The sequence below is a fragment of the Homo sapiens genome, chromosome 16 (assembly GCF_000001405.40).
Source record: "Homo sapiens chromosome 16, GRCh38.p14 Primary Assembly".
NCBI classification, from domain to species: Eukaryota; Metazoa; Chordata; class Mammalia; order Primates; family Hominidae; genus Homo; species Homo sapiens.
In genome coordinates this window covers 86,883,286-86,903,844 of record NC_000016.10, presented here as the reverse complement: position 1 = coordinate 86,903,844, position 20,559 = coordinate 86,883,286, and the positions used below count along the sequence as shown (strand labels likewise).

General features: G+C 48.7%; 3 annotated features.

Annotated features, from left to right (window-relative positions):
- Positions 1,815–2,317: an enhancer, noted in NCBI's record as "H3K4me1 hESC enhancer chr16:86935134-86935636 (GRCh37/hg19 assembly coordinates)". NCBI's record gives its function as "activates a minimal SCP1, AML or CMV promoter by ChIP-STARR-seq in naive H9 embryonic stem cells {active_cell/tissue: H9 hESC(naive)}" and the evidence as "EXISTENCE:reporter gene assay evidence [ECO:0000049][PMID:30033119]".
- Positions 2,318–2,821: an enhancer, noted in NCBI's record as "H3K4me1 hESC enhancer chr16:86934630-86935133 (GRCh37/hg19 assembly coordinates)". NCBI's record gives its function as "activates a minimal SCP1, AML or CMV promoter by ChIP-STARR-seq in naive H9 embryonic stem cells {active_cell/tissue: H9 hESC(naive)}" and the evidence as "EXISTENCE:reporter gene assay evidence [ECO:0000049][PMID:30033119]".
- Positions 7,712–8,494: an enhancer, noted in NCBI's record as "H3K4me1 hESC enhancer chr16:86928957-86929739 (GRCh37/hg19 assembly coordinates)". NCBI's record gives its function as "activates a minimal SCP1, AML or CMV promoter by ChIP-STARR-seq in naive H9 embryonic stem cells {active_cell/tissue: H9 hESC(naive)}" and the evidence as "EXISTENCE:reporter gene assay evidence [ECO:0000049][PMID:30033119]".

Below are 20,559 nucleotides of genomic sequence, written 5' to 3'. Positions count from 1 at the left end.
TCAGCATGTTTCCATAAAGACAGGGTCAGAAGAGAGGGTGGAGATCCTATGCAAGGAGCAGTCCTCATTTTGAGGCGGTGGAGCTCACTGGGGAAACTGTCTCTCCATCATTTACCATGATGGGCATAAGATGTTCAAGGGTCAGGTGGTCTCACACCTGGTTGCACATTAGAGTCACCTGGGGAGCTTTTTTAAACGTAACCCTCCCCACCTGCAGAGACCCTAACTTAATTAGCCAGGAGTGGGACCTGGGCTGCTTGGATAATCTGAGTATGCATCTGTATTGAGACCCAGTGATCTAGTGAAAGGGCCCTTTGACAATTGAAGCTGCTTCACCTCTTTATGTCCCAGACTGAGAACCTACAAGACAGCGAGTTTGGACCAAATCATCCCTAAAGCTTCCTGTTCAGTGCCATAATTCCCCATTTTAAAAAACTCCTCACTTGGAACTCCAACTCCTCTAAGAGCACTGTGTGTCCCTTCACTTCTCATTTCTACTATGCTACACCCCAGTAATGGGTCAACAACCCCATGAGAAAGGTATTATTGCTATTTAACAGATGAAGAAAATGGAGAACAGGGAGGTCAAGCAATTTGCCCAAGGTCACACAGCTAGTAAAAGGCAAGGCTGGGACTCAAAGAGGGTTAGTGTCTCCAAAGCCCAGGGGGGTAACAGGTAGTGACTGCGTACCATTTTACCATTCCTCCCCTCTCCAAGATGAAGATGGAGATAGTAATTCTGCCCTAGAAGGAAGAACTCATTGGATACCTGTGAAAGTGTTCAATGGACTCCAGAAAGCAGAGCACATGCAAGTAATTACTCGTATCATTGCCCTCCTGGAATTGTATTTTGAAGGACCAGAGGAAGAGAGAGAAATAGTCTGGTGTAGACATTGATACATGCAATTGGAAGAATGCAAATTCCCCTGAACGTGAGGACAGTGACTTATGTAAAGGGAGACTGAGAGTTGAATACAATCACAGTAACTTTAGAGGCGGGGAAATCCTTGCTAATGAGAATGCAAGCACTGCTGATTTTGAGTACCCGCATTAATGCAAGGATGCAGGGTGTGGGGCACCCAGACATTGAAAGAGCCACACGGCAGGTGTTAATGTGTGGTTGTTTCCATGCCTTTCTTTTTGCATTACAAATTCTTATCCTGGAGTCTCTGGAGATGATTGCCCTGGTACTTGGCAGCACTCTGGCTTCAGTTGGGGAAAGGCTGGGGTGAAGAGGTGTGCTAGGAATGGACTCCAACGCAGCATGTAAGAATGGCTCATTGGCCGGGCGCGGTGGCTCACGCCTGTAATCCCAGCACCTTGGGAGGCCGAGGCGGCCGGATAACCAGGTCAGGAGTTTGAGACCAGCCTGGCCAACATAGTGAAACCTTGTCTGTACTAAAAATACACAAAATTAGCTGAGCGTGATGGCGGGCGCCTGTAGTCCCAGCTACTCGGGAGGCTGAGGCAGGAGAATCGCTTGAACCCGGGAGGCGGGGGTTGCAGTGAGCTGAGATGACATCACTGCACTCCAGCCTGGGCAACAACGCGAGACTCCATCTCAAACAAACAAGAATGGCTCATTTTTCTGGAGTGTCAGTTTTCCTAAAGGATCGGGGAATGTGTTTGCCAAGGTAGTTATCACTTACTGCCATGGTAACTCCCAGAGCCCTGGAGGTGTAAAGCAGTGAGTTCGCTTCTGACTCACGTCACAGACTGATGCCCTCAGGTGCCTCTCCTGGACGGCTGCCCTCCAAGGAATGACTCGGGCTCCCTGATGCTTCCGTCCTGTGACAGTGGCCTCGCTGAGGTCCTGCTCGGAATCCTGCTTCACAGCCTCCACGTTCTCTGCATGAAAAGCAATGAGTGGCCCAGGTCCCTTCCACTCACGATGCATTGGTTGGGACCCAAATAAAGGAGCCCACCCACCTGCAGAGGGGGATGGGAGATGTGGTCTCCCGTGTGCCCAGGCAGAAGAGACGGAATTGGTGCACGTCCAGCGAGTCCCCGCTCAGATAAGGAATGCTCTCAAACAAATGCAGACATGCGATAAGGCAGAATGCAAATGTCAAGCAAGTCTCTAAGGCACAAATTAAAGGCTTTAAAGACAACAGTAGGTTTTGGTGAGTCACTGGAAACTTCTACAAATGCCTGACCTTGGGGTGGAAAGCACAGTGCTGATGTCAGGTGGTTGATATAGTCCCCACACATTTCCTGATAATACTTCCAGTGCCAAGCAAGAGCAGGGCCAGGCCCTGGTACACACAGACCCGTCCTGGGGCCCCCTCCAGTGGACTGCCCAGTCCCAATCACCAGCCTCCCTGCTCCATCCTCCAAGGCTCCCCAGCACTCCTGGGTCAAGACTGGATTGCCAGGTGGCTGTTAAACCCTGAGCAACAGGGCTTGTTCTTTGCCTCTTGTTCAGCCCCACTACCATCATTTTCACACTCACCCTCTGGGGCCATGGGACCCTGACTCCTGTGTTCTCCATGCACATCCTGTGCTTGTCATCTACTGCCTTTCCCAGGCCACTCTCTCTGTCTGGAACCACAAACGTGCTTCCTTAGCTCCTCTCCACCCAACATGCATGTGCCCAGCCAGAACTGGCTCCAACATCATCACCTCCAAGACGCCTTCTGCTCACATGCCATTTTACTTATTAATGGTGAACACGCACATATGCCATGTCTCACCAAATCCACTCCCAGGTATGGACTCGAAAGAAATGTGTGCACCAAGAAATATGCACTGAAGGAATATCCATAGCAGCAGCGCTGTTCGTGACAGCCCTAACCCGACTGCCCAAATGCCCATCAATAGCAAGGTAATCAATTATACGTTCATGCAATATATACTCTAGAAGCACAAACAGCTACACCCAATAACCTGGAGGAAGGTCACAAAAACGTTATTAACCAAAGAAGCCGCACACAAAACGAGTATCTACTGTGTCTCCATCTATGTCAAGGTCAAAAAAATCTGGGAGAATTGTGGCCCTTGGAAGGGCAGAGAGGGCTTCTGGGGACCGCTCTGTCTCTGTTTCTTGGCCTAGGTCCCTATCACAGTTTGCAGAAAGCTGTAAGCTCATACTAGGTGCACTTTCTGTGTGTGCATCACACTTCTAAGACAAGTAATGGGCCGGGCAAGGTGGCTCATGCCTGTAATCCCAGCACTTTGAGTGGCCGAGGTGGGTGGATCACCTGAGGTCAGGAGTTCGAGACCAGCCTGACCAACGTGGCGAAACCCTGTCTCTGCTAAAAATACAAACTTAGCCGGGTGTGATGGTGCATGCTTGTAATCCCAGCTACTCGGCAGGCTGAGGCATGAGAATTGCTTGAACCTGGGATGTGGAGGTTGCAGTGAGCTGAGATCGTGCCATTGCACTCCAGCCTGGGTGACAGAGTGAAACTCCGTCTCAAACAAACAAACAAACAAAAACAAAAAGACAACGAAAAACTCTGTCCTTCCTTTGTGCTTAATTTCATTATCTCTTTTATTATCCTTTAGTTTTATATTTTGTTTCATAGGTAAAATTCACATAACATACAAGGAACCACTTTAAAGAGTGTAGTTCAGGGGCCTTCAGTGTACTCACAGTGCTGTGTCATTGTGTCATCACCACCTCTATCTAGTTTGATGAGATGTTCACCGCCCCCCCAAAAAGAAACCCTCTCCCCATTAACAGTCACTCCTCACATCCTCCATCCCCCAGCAACAGCGAGTCTGTTTTCTGCCTCCATGAACTTACCTATTCTGGACATTCATATAAACTATAAAATATGTGGTTTTTGTGTCTGGCTTCTTTCACGTAGTGTCATATTTTTGAGGTTCATCCACACTGTGGCATGAATCAGCACTTCACTCGTCTTTATGGCTGAATCATATTCCATTGTATGGCATGTTTTTCTTTGTCCATCATCTGTTGACAGACATGTGGACTCTTTCCATATTTTGGTTGTTGTGAATCATGCGGCAGTGAACATTTGTGTGAAAGCATTTGTTTAAATACCTGTTTCATTTCTTTTGGGTAGATACTCAGAGATGGAATTCTTGTATTAGCATGTATTAGCTCTCCTTCCCCCTCCCTATATCCTCCATCAGACTATATATAAATTCTGACTTATCCTTTGTGTCTCCCAGGGTTGATCTAGAGTCTAGCCCTGAGAAGGTCTTTGGTAATATTTATTAAATGGATGAATGAGTAATTAAATGAATGAATGAATGATGGGTCCTATCTATCTCCAGTTAGCTCTTCCCTTGGAAATAGCATATGAAAAAGACAAGCAGAAGAAAAGACTCACCCGCTGGTCCCAGCCCTGCCATCTCCTGGCTGTGTGGCTTGGGGACAGGCTGCCACAGGCCTCTGGCCTCCTTTTCTTTGCTGTCCACCCTGCAGGTTTCTGAGGGGCCTGTGATTCTGCAAGCCCACTTAGTTCCGGTCATGCCCACTTCTCTGCAGCATTGGCTGCTGCCATGGGGAACGCGTTGCAAGGGGCGTGGGTGTGCTGGCAGCCTCCTCCTGCATTTCCTTTGACTCTGACAGCAAGTGGAGCCACGCTGGGCTTGGTGGCCACTGTGGCTGAGCAGACCTCAGGGAGGTGGGGCTTGTACACATCCCTCAGGCCTCATTTCTGGAAGACAATTCCTGGAACAAAGCTGGTCCCCCTTTGGGGCTTCCAGGCACTTTGGGAGCTGCGCCTCTGTGCAAACATGGCTGGGCCTGCCTAGTTTTCAGGGGGTCTCTTTCCACCTATCCTATCCCCATCCCATTCTACCCCGGATGGATATTTGGCTGTGTTGTCGGGGTCAGACCTGTGAGTGCTGAACTCACACAGGAACCTCTGCTGACAGGCAGTCCCTGTTTCTTCTCCGTTCTTCCCTTTGAAGTCAATGGGGGCTCTGTGTGCAGCTGAAAGTGCGTGGGGTGTGGGAGCGAAGAAGCTGGCCTCACTGTTTCTGGCCAGGATGGAGGGCAGAGGTGTCAGAAGTCTCACTGCAGGGCTGGAGGGTGGCAGCCTCCCACTGCAATTTCTCCAATGTGAAAGGTTTGGAAAGGCTTCAGAGAAACCTCTGATGTCCTGGACTCAGAGCCTGACTCCACCTAAAACCACGGCCCACCCCGCTCCAGGAGGACTTTTCCAAGCTCACAGGGGATCTTGGATGGAGTTCCTCTGCAGCCTGCTCCATGGACCTGGGCCGAACCTCAGCGCAGGGAGGAGGTGAAGTCTTTGATGTGCAGCCTCACCCTTCTGTGCCTTCCCCCTCAGGAGGGACTTGTGAGGAGCCACTAATTGGATTTGAGCTTGGCTCCCCTCCTATGGGCTGCTGAGGACTGTGAAGAGAGGCCACCTGGCCCTGGGGCTGGCGTGAGGCCTAGCCTTTCACCAGGCCACAGGTTTGGGCAAATAACCCAGTGCCCTTGCATCCTGAGAAGTGAGTAACTTGGACATGAGGAGAAGGAAGCCAAAGTGCCATGTTGCTCCAAAACCTAGGGTCTTCCAAACAGCCTCTTGTCAGGTAGCACAGAGTAAAGCCACTGGGAGAAAAGACAGCTAATCCTTCAGCCAGCAGATGAGCTGGGTACACACATGTAATCCTAGGGAAATGTGTCTCTAAATGTTTCTCTCTCTCCTGCTCATGTAGGGGAAGGAAGGAATGCAGAAAGAGAGGCAGAGGAAGAGGGGGAGAGGGAGAGGAAAAGTGAGAGGGAGGGAGGGAGGGAGGAACAGGGAGAGAGATTGAGAGAGAGAGAAAGAGAGAGAGGGAGAATGGCTATATACAGGAAACAAAGCATAGACCACATATGACTACAAAATACATTCATTTATTCAACAGCTGTTTACCGAGCATCTCATCTATTCAGGAAACTGTGCTAGGTCTACAGCAGATAGAGGGAAGACAAGAAATAGTTCTTTCCTTCAAAAGTATTGCAGTATAAGATTCTGGATTTGAGTGGGCTTTTAGAGACAGACACAGATCTGGTGGGATTCTGAATCCACCGTCAACTCTGTGGGACCGAGGCAGGCTGTTTTCTCTCTTTGAGCCTCAGTTTCTTTCTCGTGGAGCCGTTCTGAGAATGCAGTGAGGATTTTAGCTTGTGTTAACACTTAATGGGTCAGAAATGGCAACAGCGAGCTGTGGCTGTGGCAGTGACCTGGCAGGGGATGTAACATACATGCACGGATGTGACTCTGTGCAGCTCCCTGGGGTTACCTGGGAGAGATGTAGACACTTTCCCTCCTGTTCCCACATCGCCTTCTTCTTGCCTCCACATAGTCCTTTTCCCACAGCGTGGTGATGATGGTTCCCATATTGGTCTCTCGTGATGGGCCGTGAGCTTCCTGTGCGCAGAAGCCTGGCCTTCCTCCTATCTTAACCCTTGGCTTCCAGCATAGAACTGGCCGGTAGTAAATCCACATGCACACTCTAACCCAGGTCTCCCAACCCCCACCCAGGCCTGGTTCTTTTTTTCCTAGCATGTTCTACAATTTACTTCTTCGCTACGTTTATCTGTCTCTCCCCTCTACAATGCCAGCGTTGGCAGAGCAGGGATTTTTGTCTTTTTTGTTCACTGGTTTATCTTCACCGCCTAGACACATCCTTTGTGCAGATACCTCCCAGTGCCCGACACAATAGCAACCCAGTAAGTATTTGTTGAATGGATTAGTGGATACATTAGTGATACTCTGTGAAATTACTGAGCCGACTATAATTATTTCAGGCAGAAAAGGCCATTAAGAAAGAACAGCCTCCCAATACAAAAGCACAGGGTGCCCAGGGGTCAGGCCGACATGGGTGCTCTGGCCCGCCCCTCTGTGATCCAGCTACGGGACTCACTCAAGCTACTAAACTTCCTGAAGCCTCAGCCAACATGGGTGCTGTGGCCCGCTCCTCCGTGACCCACCTGCGGGACTCACTCAAGTTCCTGAACTTCCCAAAGCCTCAGCTAGCCCACCAGTAGCATGAAAAAATAACAGTGTCTACCTGGCAAGATATTGGGAGAATTAAAAGTAACGATGGGTGTCAGCTGCTTCACAGAAGCCTGGCCCATAAGTCGGGGTGGCCATGTCAGCTGCGGTTTACCACGATAGCTCAATGGTGCCACATCACCCCCGGGAAAGCGAGTGTGTTTGTGGGAGCAGCATTATCTCGTCCCTCTTGTGATAACCAGCCCTGCTCTCTGTATCATCATCTGACTTAAGAGTCAGGGTGGAGTGTCTTCACATCCTCCACCTCTGCAGAACCCTAGTCCGCCGCGTTGCATTTAGTCTACGGTGTAGTTCCGCCAGCAATGTGGCCTCCATCACTACTGTGCAGTGAAACCCTCTGCTCCTTCGCTGTCCCTGCCCCCAGGCAGCCACCAAAATGCTCCAAGTGCAGGGCAGCAGAAACGTCTTTCTAGGGAATTCACACACACGCAGGGCTGGGCCTGAGTGCAAATTCTGCGATTTGGATTTCCACTGTCCAGGTGTGTGTTTACAGTGTGCCTGCTGTGTGCACGGTGGGGCGGCTTGCGGTGTCTTTTCATCCTTGGATCTAGGGCAGCCTGGAGAAGCCCCCAGCCCTCTACCTGGCCTCATCTGGCACTCATTGGTGCCGTCACGACAGTTTGTTTATGTGTAATTTCTGGCTGAGACTTGAAAGTTTAACTACCGATCCTTTCTCTAAACAGCCACTACTGTTATACAAAAAACAGACGACCTCCCTGCTTGGATGTGAGACCAAAATATCTATTCCCGGCGTACCTTGAGAGAGAAATCAAAGGGGCTTGTTTACTCCCAAATGAAAACTTGCAAAATTCCAAATCCTGCAGGATTGGCTTATTTCACTGTGAGGAAAATGCATGCCGAACAGCTCACAGTAAGCCTAAATGTTTGTTTACTGAGATGGCCCCCCCCGGTCAGGAATCAGATATTCTGAAATGCCAGGGCAGGCAGGGGCTGGAGTCCGCCAGCTAGGGACAGGCACTGTGCAGTGAGGGAGGGTCTGGGGCTCCCACCGTGCCCATCCCGCCGTCCTGACCTCCCTGTTTCCTCCCTCTTCTCTCCCTCTTCCCAGGGAAGGTCTGCAGACAGGGCGGGCTCTGAGAGGAAGTCTCCTTTGTTTCTCCCGCAAATGTTTTCATTAGAAAGCTGGTTCTCTTCTATATGTTGTCCCTGGCCCCTCGCAGAACCAGTCATCGGGTTTCAGGACCACGATTTGAACAGCTGCATGTGCTAATTTGATCAGGTATCTGACTTGGGGTCCCAGGGAGGCCATGGTGGCTGCCCTGTCCTGTCCTGCAGGCACAGCCCCTGGAAGTATCTGCCCTTCTGCAGACAGCTGTCCATCAAAACAGCTCCAGCCTGAATATGGGAGAATTCCAGTGTGGTCCAGCTTATAATGTAGTCAATGATGCCCCAAGGGAAAAAGGAAGGGAAAGAAGTAGTGACCGCTTGACTTTCATTTTTCTTTCCTGTGGGGTCTACAGGACCTCCATTCTGATACGGTTTTGGGGCTGGGGTGGCTGACAAGGGGCACAGTTGTTCCCTAATCGATGCCAACAACAACCTGTAGAAGATCCCCCATGCCACCAGCTTCTTGTAGCGGGTGGGACTGGCCCCTGTTATGCACATCTGAGAACCCTTTCTAGAGCTGATATTCACGTCCGGGGCCACTAACAAATGACCACATAACGAATGACCGCAAACGGTGGGGCTTACAGCAGCAGAATCGGGAGTCTGCCATCGAGATGCGGGCAGGGCTGTGCTCCCTCTGAGGGCTCCAGGGCAGGACGCTTCCTGCCTCTTCCAGCTTCCAGTGTCCCTGGCTCTTCTTGGGATTCCTTGACTCCGAGGTGCATTACTGCGGCCTCTGCCGTCTTCACTGTGTGTGTGTCTGTGTCCAAATTTCCCTCTTCCTATGAAGGCACCAGTCCCGTTGGATTAGGTCCACTCTCACCCCATATGAGCACATCTTGACCCAATTATATCTGCAAAGACACTGCTGCCAGATAAGGTCTCCCTCACATGTGCCCAGGGTTAGGACTTGAGCATAACTATGCGGGTGACACAATTCAACCCGGTACAGAGCTGTTTACCACAAGGGCCCTTTTCACATTGATTTCACATTGTCTCAGTTTTTCCATCTGTGAAATGGGGATAATAGTCACATCTTCCTGACTGGGCTAATGTGGGGACTGAATTGGCTCAGAGACGTTGCGTGCTTAGAGCTGTGTTGGACAGGCAGCAAGCACGACGTCAGAGGGCTCTGCTCTTGATCTCATCATCAGCTGCAGGCTTTGGACAGCACAGAGGGAGAGGGTCGGGGGTGGACGCAGGCCCTACTCCATCAGAATAAGATCCATACCTGTAGTGTGACCTTCCAGGCCGGCACCACGTAGCTCCCGGACCTCACCCTGCACCCTCTAGCTGTACCTCATGGTGCCTGGCACGCGGGCCTCTGGTCCTCATCGTGTGGCGGGGTGGTGGCTGCTGCCTGGAACCGTTGTCCTGAGTTCTTGGAGCCCATCAGGGTGGGCTTCCCTGTCCTGGCTTTGCTCCCCTGTGCCTCTTGCCCTGGCTGCTGCTGCTGCCGGCTGTTCCCTTCAGCACATGCGCAGTCGGTGCCTTTGCGCAGGGCGGAGTTTGCTTGTGCTCTGATCTGAATGCGTCTAGACTGTGAGTCCCACGAGGACAGGAGCTGCGTCTGATTTGTTCTTCTCTGCATGCCCTGGCAGTCGGGAGCTCGAAGTAGTCTTGGTACCCGTGCCTATGAATGAGATTGGACTGCTCGGTGAATCACCTGAAACCCTTTCACCGATGGGCGCTGTGTTACAGGGGCAGCCTCCATCCTGGGGGCAGCCCATGAGAGGGGCAGATGGGCAGGGAGGCTTGGCATGGCTCCCCTGGCTGTATTTTTCCCTGTTTTATTTGCTTTTATTAAATTTTTTATTTTCAAAAATGTGAACTTGTAGAAAAATGGTCAAATATTACAATGGCCTGCTATATTCCTTTGGCTGATCTCACCTGTCGCTGGCATTACTCCTGTCGCTGAACTCCCCTGCAGCTGGGCTCACCTGCGGCTGGGCTCACCTGTGGCTGGCATTACTCCTGTTGCTGACCTCCCCTGCAGCTGGGCTCACCTGCGGCTGGGCTCACCTGCGGCTGGCATTACTCCTGTGGCTGGGCTCACCTGTGGCTGACATTTACTGCACTTGCTCTTTGCTCCTTCTCTGTCACCATCAGCATCGTCATTGTCGTTGTTTGTTTATTTTTGGTGAACTCTTTGACGGAACCTGTGGAGGGTGTGTCCCTCGGCTGTGAACACATCTGTGTTCTCCTGAGGACAAGGACGTTCTCCTACATAGCCACAGCACCAGGGTGCTCTTAGCTGGTCTTCCTATTCAAACATCACCATTTGTCCCGATGCTGTGCTTTGGGGCAACTTTTGCCTTCCCATCCAGGCTTCAACCTGGAAGCACACCTTGCATTTGGCTATCTCCTTTGTCTTCTTTAATCTGGAACATTCCTCCATCTTTCTTTGTCTTTACTTCATTGGCATTTTGGAAGAGTGTATGGACTTGCATTTTGCAGTTTCACGTCTATGTGAGTTTGTTTGATTGGATTCAACTAAGGTTTTGTATTTTTGGAAACCTGGTGTTTTTAAAAATGGGGGAATTATGTATTAGGTAAAATATTTTCATCTTTTACAAATTCATAAACTTGGCAACATTGAGCCCCAATTCCCACTTGGCATGTTATCCACAATGTCCCCCTCCCAGCCCCCTGACCCAGGGCTATGAGTGTGTGAGCCCTGATGTCATGGTGGGAGGGAGCCCTGGAGGGGGACAGGAGGCTGGTGCCTGGGCGGGGCCCCCTCTTAACTCACCAGGTGGCTCTGGGCATGCCCCTCACTTCTGTGGGCCTCAGAGAACAGTAACAGAGAAAAAGTTTGATGAGAGTACATCTCTCCAGTGGCAGAGCCCAGAAAATATGATCCTTTCGCTCAAAATCCATGGAAGTCTATAAATAGATGCTCCCACTGCCAGAGAGAGGGGTGTTGCGAAGAAAGATGACACCCATGAGCATGAGCAGCTGGGAGGTTGTGAGGATTTGTGCAATCACAGGAGGCATGGGTGATAACATGATAATGCCGAGAAGTGGCTCTGTCACTCATCCAGGGAGGGCTTATCAGCCACGCTGATCTTTCTCAAGAAGTCGGAGACTGACAGCTTCCTGAAATGAGAGTATCAGTCCCAAAGACAAGGAAGGTTGTGCACATGCGGGTCATGGAGGGTCTTGGCTAGGACAAGCCCCACCCCAACCATGCTTTGCTACAACCTACCTACCCACAGTCAGAGCTGAAACTTCCGAAGTTTAGATGTGGTCAGGCTCTGTGCTGAGCAATCAGCTGGTGTGATGTTCATCCATTTTGAATAAATACATGAATGATTGCATACGTGTAAAGCAGCTGGTTTCTTAACTAACTCTTTGGCTTACTCTCCAAATAAATGTTTCTTAACCTTCTTAAACAGATATCCCCTTTGAGAAACGCAGAAATACATCCCATATTATATGTGATTTATACATCCACTCCCCCAAAGGGCTATGGAGAATATGTCCTCACTAACCATTGTGATCCCACCTAAAAATCTCCACCTGCCAAAAACACTATGTTACTCTGTGTTTTCAAGTTATACAGAGAAAAGTTATTTTCCCTTACATTATATAATATCATAAAATGGAATGTTTGAAACTTTTTAGACTTTAAATCTAACTGGATTGCTGTCCGTCCTACATCTCCACTCTAGTGGTTCAAATTGCCCGCCCTGAAGGTGGGGGAGTGCATGGTCCCTTCCCAGCGAGCACCTCACGCCTAAAGCTTTAGGATGGGGAACCCACCCATGGCCTCCTGAAGCATTAGGATGGGGGAACCCGCTCATGGCCTCCTAAAGCTTTAGGATGGGGGAACCCGCCCATAGCCTCCTAAAGCATTAGGATGGGGAACCCGCCCACGGCCTCCTAAAGCATTAGGATGGGGAACCCGCCCACGACCTCCTAAAGCTTTAGGATGGGGAACCCGCCCACAGCCTCCTGAAGCTTTAGGACGGGGAACCCACCCATGGTCTCCTAAAGCTTTAGGATGGGGGAACCCGCCCACGGCCTCCTTGTGCAGGTGCCTGACTTTGGTGCACCATTGAACCTTGCAGTCACTGTTCTGGGATATTCCCCAGGAAGCTGGGCTCTAGGGCCAAAAGAGCTGGTTTACTCATGGGAACAGGCCTCAGGGATCGGCACGCAGTCCCAGTGCCACCGCTCTGCACCCCATGCTTCTCCCACGTAGAATAAATGCCAAGCCGTGGAAAGGGAAAACAGAAAACAGGGACAGCCGCCACCCAAAATGCTCAACTGCAAATGAAATAAATCATGCATGTTCTCAAAACACAACAGAAAAAGGCGTTTGGGGTGAACTGGGCTGTTTATCTCCATCCCTTCTGTGTGTTTGGTGATAAAGATCTTACTTGGAAACTTTCACAGAGATTAGGACACATTTTCCAGTTCACAATGACAGATATTAGAAAATCGTTAGCTGACTTGGCTACGAGACAGCACAGGAAGGGTTTCCTCTTCATTTTTAGCCATAGTAATAATAGCATCAGCCAATTTGAGAAAAGATCAAATGGAATAGCTGATTCGAATTATCCAACGTAATGGTCCAATGTGCTAAATTAACTGTGAAATCTTCTAATTTTATTCAGGCGTGTAAATAACATTTTTGTGCCTAAGTACATCCAATGGCATGTTTTCAACTAGTTTTCAACAGGCATTCTACATTCAGAGAGGCCCACATTACTAGGGTTCAGAACCCAGGCTCTGGGACCAGATGCTTGGGTTCAAATCCTGCCTCTGCCACTTCCTGCCTGGGTCAGCCTCTAGCAACTTCCTCTCTCTGTGCCTCCGTCTGCTTCTTGGAACAAAGGGAGTAAGGATCATAGTGCCCTCACTGTGCATGGGAGGCTCTGTGGGATTTTGATTTTCACAAAATCGCTTAGTTTCCAACACATGGAAAGTACATAGTAGAAGCTAGAGATGATGGGGAGGAGGAGAATGGTATTTCCTTAATGTACACTGAGCTGTTTGCACCCATAGGTGCCATACAAGTGTGAAACACACACGGGTTCAATTAATTCTCCCAGAAACATTGTTGTTCCTATCTTTTGATCGGAATAGATGAGGTCTAGGGAAGTTAGGAGACTGGAGAGCGGTTGGACCCAGGCCTGTTGGGATCGACTAAGGCCTCTCATGGCCAGTGTTGGGATAGAGATGGACAGGATGTGACCCCTGACTCTAGGGGTCCATGATCCCCCAACAGGCAGGAGGGTACAGATGATCATAAGACAACGTTCTAGTGCTGGCATCCGGGATAGCAGGCGTCATCATTTGAACCCACAGACACCCTGTCATATGTTGGGAGCAGAGACTCTCACATTCATGCAATTAAAGATGTTTTAATTGGCCTATTGGTTGGTTCCAGGCATGAGAATCATCATAGCGCCTGTGAACTGGGTCCAGAAATGAGTCACCATCTCACCTGTTGGCTGGGCACTGGTAGGAGAGTCACATCTCCAACTTTTGACTGCGTTCAGGTGTGAGATTCAGGACCTCACCAGTGGGATGTGTCCACGTGTGAGGGTGACCAACTCCACATGTCTGTGCCCTAACTTAAGTTTATCTACTAATGACTACTTAATTTGCCAATGAGAAGACCAGGTTTCAGTTATCATTTGCAGTCTCAGGTAAAGCTTTGCTTGTTTTTAACTCAATTTCTTCTTTTAATTGACACAATAATTGTACTCATTTAAGCTTAAGTGAGGTTATTGTCCTCAATAGCTCTTAACACAATTTACATCGTAAGTCTTTAGTCATTAGACTTATGATGCTCTTTGATTATAATGAATGTCCCTAATAACATCAAGTGGTTTTGCATCATGTATTTAACATCTATCTATCAATCTATCTATCTATCTATCTATCTATCTAATCTATCATCTATCTCTATCATCTGTCTATATCATCTATGTATCCATCTCTATCATTTGTCTATCTCTATTATCTATTTCTATCTCCGTCTCTCCATCCATCCATCCATCCATCCATCCATCCATTCATTCATCCATTCATCCATCCATCCATCCATCCATCCATCCATCCATTCATCCATCCATTCATCCATCCATCCATCCATCCATCCATCCATCCATTCATCCATCCATTCATTCATCCATCCATTCATTCATCCATCCATCCATCCATTCATCCATCCATCCATCCATTCATCCATCCATCCATCCATTCATCCATCCATTCATTCATCCATCCTTTCATTCATCCATCCATCCATCCATCCATCCATCCATCCATCCATCCATTCATCCATCCATTCATTCATCCATCCATTCATCCATCCATCCATCCATCCATCCATCCATCCATCCATTCATCCATCCATTCATTCATCTATTCATCCATCCATTCATTCATCCATCCATTCATCCATCCATCCATTCATCCATCCATTCATCCATCCATCCATCCATTCATCCATCCATTCATTCATCCATCCATCCATTCATCCATCCATCCATCCATTCATCCATCCATCCATCCATTCATTCATCCATCCATCCATTCATCCATCCATTCATCCATCCATCCATCCATCCATTCATCCATCCATCCTTACATCCATCCCCAGCCTCCTGCTAAAGATTAGCAGACACTTGTTAAATAAACAAACAGATAGAAAACCGCAGTCCACAAAGGCACCCTCAATATTTGATTGGTCTTTGACAATGGAGACTTTCAGATACACCCAGGGATTACAGAATCAAATGGTGAAATTGGTTTCGTTTATTTACTGGGGAAGCAAGCCATGCTTGTTATATCAATGAATCATCAGGGCTGGCTCTGTAAGACTATTTTAAAATCCAAACCTGCTTCTGAAGATAAAGGTTTGCTGTCCCTAAAGATGCTCAAGACAGGAGTCACATATAAATGTCTTTAAAGAGGCAAAAAGCAGGCATTGTTCAAAGACCCTTTCTAGAAGCATGTTGGGCTAGATTCCCTCTAAAGGGCAAATGTTTTAGCAATAACAATAATGCTTTTTTTAAAACCTAGCATTTATTGGGATGTATTGCTCATATTTGGGCCACCATGACTCACACATATCACCTGCAGCCTTCACAACAATCCGGCCAATTCAGCATTATTATTTCCATTCTATGGATAAGAAAGTGGGTTGAGAGGGTTCAAAGTTTGCCTCGAATCTGACAGCCATTAAGTCCTAGAGTCAAGATGAGAACCCAGGTATGCAGCCTCTGAAACCTGGGCAATGTTTAATCTACTCTTGCATCTGTAGTCCTATTTGATGTTTGTTCTGATGGGTGAGTCAGACTTGGTTGGTGGAAAAGGGCTGGAGAGAGCATTGCATTTGGAGGAGTCCTACATGTAGATAAAAGGAAACATGAGACCCCTGGGGCATCTGCAAGAACTCGGGGTGGCTGGAGGATTGGGGCAGGAAAGGCAAAGGGTGTGAAGGGGGTGAAGATGCCAAGACAAGGAGCTGGGGAGTCAAGCAGGGACTAGAGGTGCTCCGCCCTGGGTGCAGGTTACAATCTCCTTTGGGAGTCACACGAGATCCATGACTCCACACTACATGGAGTAGGACCCCCCACCCCAGGTAAAATTCTGTGTTTTTTCAAAGCCCCCCAAAGGGAGTTCTAATGAGCCGCTGGGATTGAAAGCTGCTGGGGTGGAGCGTGAAGGGCCGTGTTGGCCATGATTATAAGGAGTCCTGATTTAGTCTATTTCAATATACACTCTCTTGTACAATATCATGCCCGGGGGAGAGATTTCCTTTGTCTTGTACCTGGAGGTGCAGGGCAAGTGGGTGGCACACAGAGTAGAGGCTGGGTGGAGGACCGGGGGGCTGACTGACAGTTGACAATGTCTTCCTGGTCAGCTGGAGAAACAGCATAAACAAACTGTAAAATTTTTCTTCTCCTTTGCCTAGGGGTCCTTGGCTGACATGGAGTTGTCAGCCTCTCAGAAAGCAGCTATCTGCTCTAGAAAGGCCATGGGAACGCAGAGGCACGCACTGCTCCAGGGGCCACCCTGCAACAGCCTCAACAGTGTAGTAGCCCGACTCTCAGAGCCACCTGGTCAACCCGCAGTTCCCCAGGGAGACTTGGCTCTGACCTGAAGCCTGAGTGGGGTCCGGTTAGAGCTGCAGTCATGTTCTTCCTGGATTTCCCAGGGAGGTAATGAGCAACAGGCTGGGGAACATCCCACGTTTGCAAGGCAGGTGGTTTTGAGACTCTCTTCTTGTTAGTCTTCCCTGACCCCAAAGAGGTACATCCCACCGAAAACGCTGTCCCCAGAGGTTAATTCCCTTAGCAAAAGAAACCCTTTTCTCTGGGAAGAGGCTTTTTACAACAAGTTAAGGTGGTTGAATATCCCTTTAAAACAAAGTTCACTGTAACTTTGCTATTGGACTTTTGGGGAAGCAAACCACTCCCAAAATATAAATCTGGTCACTAAATATTGAAGATAATGAAATTAAAGAAGCCCTCGAGTATCATTTCTGTACTTCCCATAGTAACCCCTGACATTCTAAACATTAACATTCCTTGCTCATCTGATTGCAGTGAAACTAGAGCATTCACTGACTCTTGGTAGCCTGGTAAATTTCACAGAACATGAGCGTAAAGCATTACAAAAAATGTTGGTTCTCTTCAGGCAACTGATTCTATTCCTAAGATTTTATACAGAGGACAGGTGGTATTAAAAGTTAAAAATCAAATGTACAAAGATAGATGTTCACTGCCAGGTAATCTAATTGCCAATATCTGGAAGTATCTAAATGTTCTAGAATGGGGGAGGGCTAATTTCTTCTTAAAGGCAAAGATTACAGGTGTGAGTCACCGTGCCCAGCCAAAGGCAAAGATAGTAAGCACTTCTGGCTTTGCAGACCACACACAGGCAGTGTCTGTCACAGCTCCCCAGCTCTGCCATTGTAACACAAACACAGCCACAGACAGTAAGGAAGCAAGGAGAGTGCCTATGTTCCAATAAAACTTTATTTACAAAAACAGGCAGCAGGCAAGATTTGGCCCATAGACCCCTGTTCTATAATAAAGAATATGATTCACAAATTTTGAAAAAGCGAAATATGATTCAACATTTAGCAGCCAATTTAAGATCCTATAGAAACTTGAAAAAAATGTAAAAGATGCAATGTTAAAATTTAAAAGCCAGTAAAAGATGTACAATTGCAATTATGAGAAGTGTGTATAGAAATAGAAAATGGCAGAATGGGAACGTACAAATGAGAATGAAATAAAGATGGCAGGATGATGGGTGTGCCGATACTTTGAAGTTTGCCATGAAAGCCGTTTACACTTCAGACTTTTGCACAATGCTTCAGGCAATAAACCAACATTTGAGGTGAACAGGACCCCATGGTGCTGGCCTGAGGCCAGATTGCCTTGCTGTAGCGTCCTCATCCACTGCACCCCAAGACCATATGTTCCTTCACTCAGTTCTTCATTACTTTATTTAAAACTGGTTTATTAACAAATGGTTGAACATTTGTTCCATGCCAGATGCAGTGGGAAGTGATGGAGAGACGTTATGTGTTTATTTTGTTGTTGTTGTTTTGAGATGGAGTCTCACTCTGTCACCTAGGCTGGAGTGTAGTGGCGCGATCTTGGCTCACTGCAACCTCCGCCCCCCAGGTTCAAGCTATTCTGCTGCCTCAGCTTCCCGAGTAGCTGGGATTACAGGTGCCTGCCACCACGCCTAGTTAATTTTTGTATTTTTAGTAAAGACGGGGTTTCGCCATCTTGGCCAGGCTGGTCTTGAACTCCTGATCTCGTGATCCACCCACCTGGCCTCCCAAAGTGCTGGGATTACAGAGACGTTACATATTTCAAAACATCATGTTATATACCATAAATACATATGCTTTTTTTTTCTTTTTTCTTTTTCTTTTTTTTTTGAGTCTCGCTCTGTCTCCCAGGCTGGAGTGCAGTGGAGTGATCTCAGCTCACTGCAATCTCCACCTCCCAGGGTCAAGTGGTTCTCCGGCCTCAGCCTCCTGAGTAGTTGGGATTACAGGCATCCACCACCGCACCCCGCTAACTTTTGTATTTTTAGTAGAGATGGGGTTTCGCCATGTTGGCCAGGCTGGTCTTGAACTCCTGACCTCAGGTGATCTGCCCTCCTTGGCCTCCCAAAGTGCTGGGATTACAGGCGTGAGCCACCACACCCAGCCTACATATGCTTTTTGCCAATTAAAAATGAGCCAGGCATGAAAATAAATAAATAAACAAACCCTGCTAACACTTTCTGATTGTGATACATACTGGGAACAAGATGGACTGGAGCAAATGGGGCAGAGAGAGGAGGACCTTAATCAGGGTCGTCAGGGAAGATCTGGGGAGGCAGAGACAAGGCCAGTGTGGCTGGAGCCTGGGGGAGGGTAGTGAGGCCGGCGGTGGAGTCGAGGGAGGCAGGGCCCTGGCATCAGCACCGCTGCATGCATATATCCCACAAGTGATGCAATGTGAGCCAGTAAAAAGAATCACGTGAAATTAATTTTAGTAATGCATTTTATGCAACCCAATGTATCAGTATATCATACCAATATGTAATCAATGTAAATATTATTCATATCATACCTTCCATTCTTTTCTTTCTCTGCCTTTGAAATCTGGTGTCCAGCATGTATTTTATACTCCGGTATCTTTGTTTCAAGTGCTCAGAAGCTGTGTGCGGCCTGAGGTGCTGTCCTGGACAGTGCGGCCCCCAGATCTTCGGGGCTTTGGTGTCCGGGAAGTCCCCGTGAGACGAGGAGGCTCTTTTCCTGGGAGAGGATGGCCGTTCGTTGGTCAAATATGTACTAACCTCTGCGAGGTGCACACTTGGAGTAAAGACAGTTGAGACAGGCCCTTCCCTGGCGGATCTGACAGTCCAGGGTCTGAGAAGGGCATTGAGGGTGAAGTTACTGGGTGTCTGGAGGAGGGAGAACTGGGAATACTAAGTGGGGTGAGCACAAAGAAAAAGACCTGGGAGGGGCGAAGGGAGGGCGGGCACTCACATTTCCTTGTTTATTTCATCCAGACTAGGGTGTTTTCTTCCTCTTTTCTACAGAGGAAACTGAGTCACAGTGGGTCGGCTAAGTTGCTCAGTGCTGGGCAGCTAATAAGTGGCAGAGCTCCGGGAAGCTCTGGGGACTCCCAGAGGGTTGTGGAGAATCCTGGAAGTTTTGAGAAGATTTGCCCACGGGCAGCTCTCCGGGAGGCCCCCTGGGCCCTCTGGCATTCCCAGTAATGCCTCATTTGGCAACCCCACATTCCTGGGGGCAAGATTCCAAGAGAATGGGATGGAACAGTAAGGTTGCAGTGGCTCAGCTGCTCCTGGCTGTAAATAATAAAATGCCTGAGCGAGAGTGGTGTAAGCAATGATGGCCTTGAGTGGCTCCACAGAAGTCTGCAGGCAGGAGGATTCTGCAGGCAGGGGGATTCTGCAGGCAGGCGGATTCTGCAGGCGGGGGATTCTGCAGGCAGGCGGATTCTGCAGGCGGGGGATTCTGCAGGCAGGCGGATTCTGCAGGCGGGGGATTCTGCAGGCAGGCGGATTCTGCAGGCGGCGGATTCTGCAGGCAGGGTGATTCTGCAGGCAGGGTGATTCTTCAGGCAGGGGAATTCTGCAGGCAGGGGGATTCTGCAGGTGGGGGATTCTGCAGGCAGGCAGATTTTGCAGGCAGGGGGATTACAGGTGTGGCTCAGCAGCAGCATCAGGAGGCAGCACCTCCTGCCTTCCAGTTCCCTGGCCTCTGTGTGGCTTGACTTTATGAAATGCGGGCTCCAACGCCAGGCCCCGCCTTCTCACACAGTAAGACCCAGAGACAGGGTTGCAGGGGGGACTCTTGTCCCAGGAATCTCTTCACTGGGGAGAAAGCACTTTCCCAGAAGAAGCTCTTTCCCAGAGACTCCCTGTGGAGCTCCCCTTGAGTTCAGAACTGGATCCATGGGGCAATTCTTAGCTGCAAGGCATGTTGGGAAAGTGAGTGCCTCTAGCAGATGTCAGTACCTGTTATGGGATGTGGATTGTGTCAATAAGGAAGGAAGCTGATAACTAGCAGAAGAGCTGTGCCTCACAGTACGGCATCCACAGTTTCACATCCACAGTTTCAACCAACCTCAGATTGAAAATATTCCAAAATCAAACCCAATAGAAGTAACAGTGCAACAATAAAAATAATACAAACAAAAATACAGTATAACAACTATGCACCTACCATTTACATTGTATTAGGTATTACAAGTAACCTACAGATGGTTTGAAGTATATGGGAAGCTGTGCATTGGTTATATGCAAACACTATGCTGTACTACACAGGGACTTGAGCATCTGCAGATTCTGGTATCTGAGGGGGACCTGGGATCAATTCTGTATTCCTAGGATAAGGAATTGACTCCTCCCATATTCATCACAAACTTACTTCCTTGGGAGT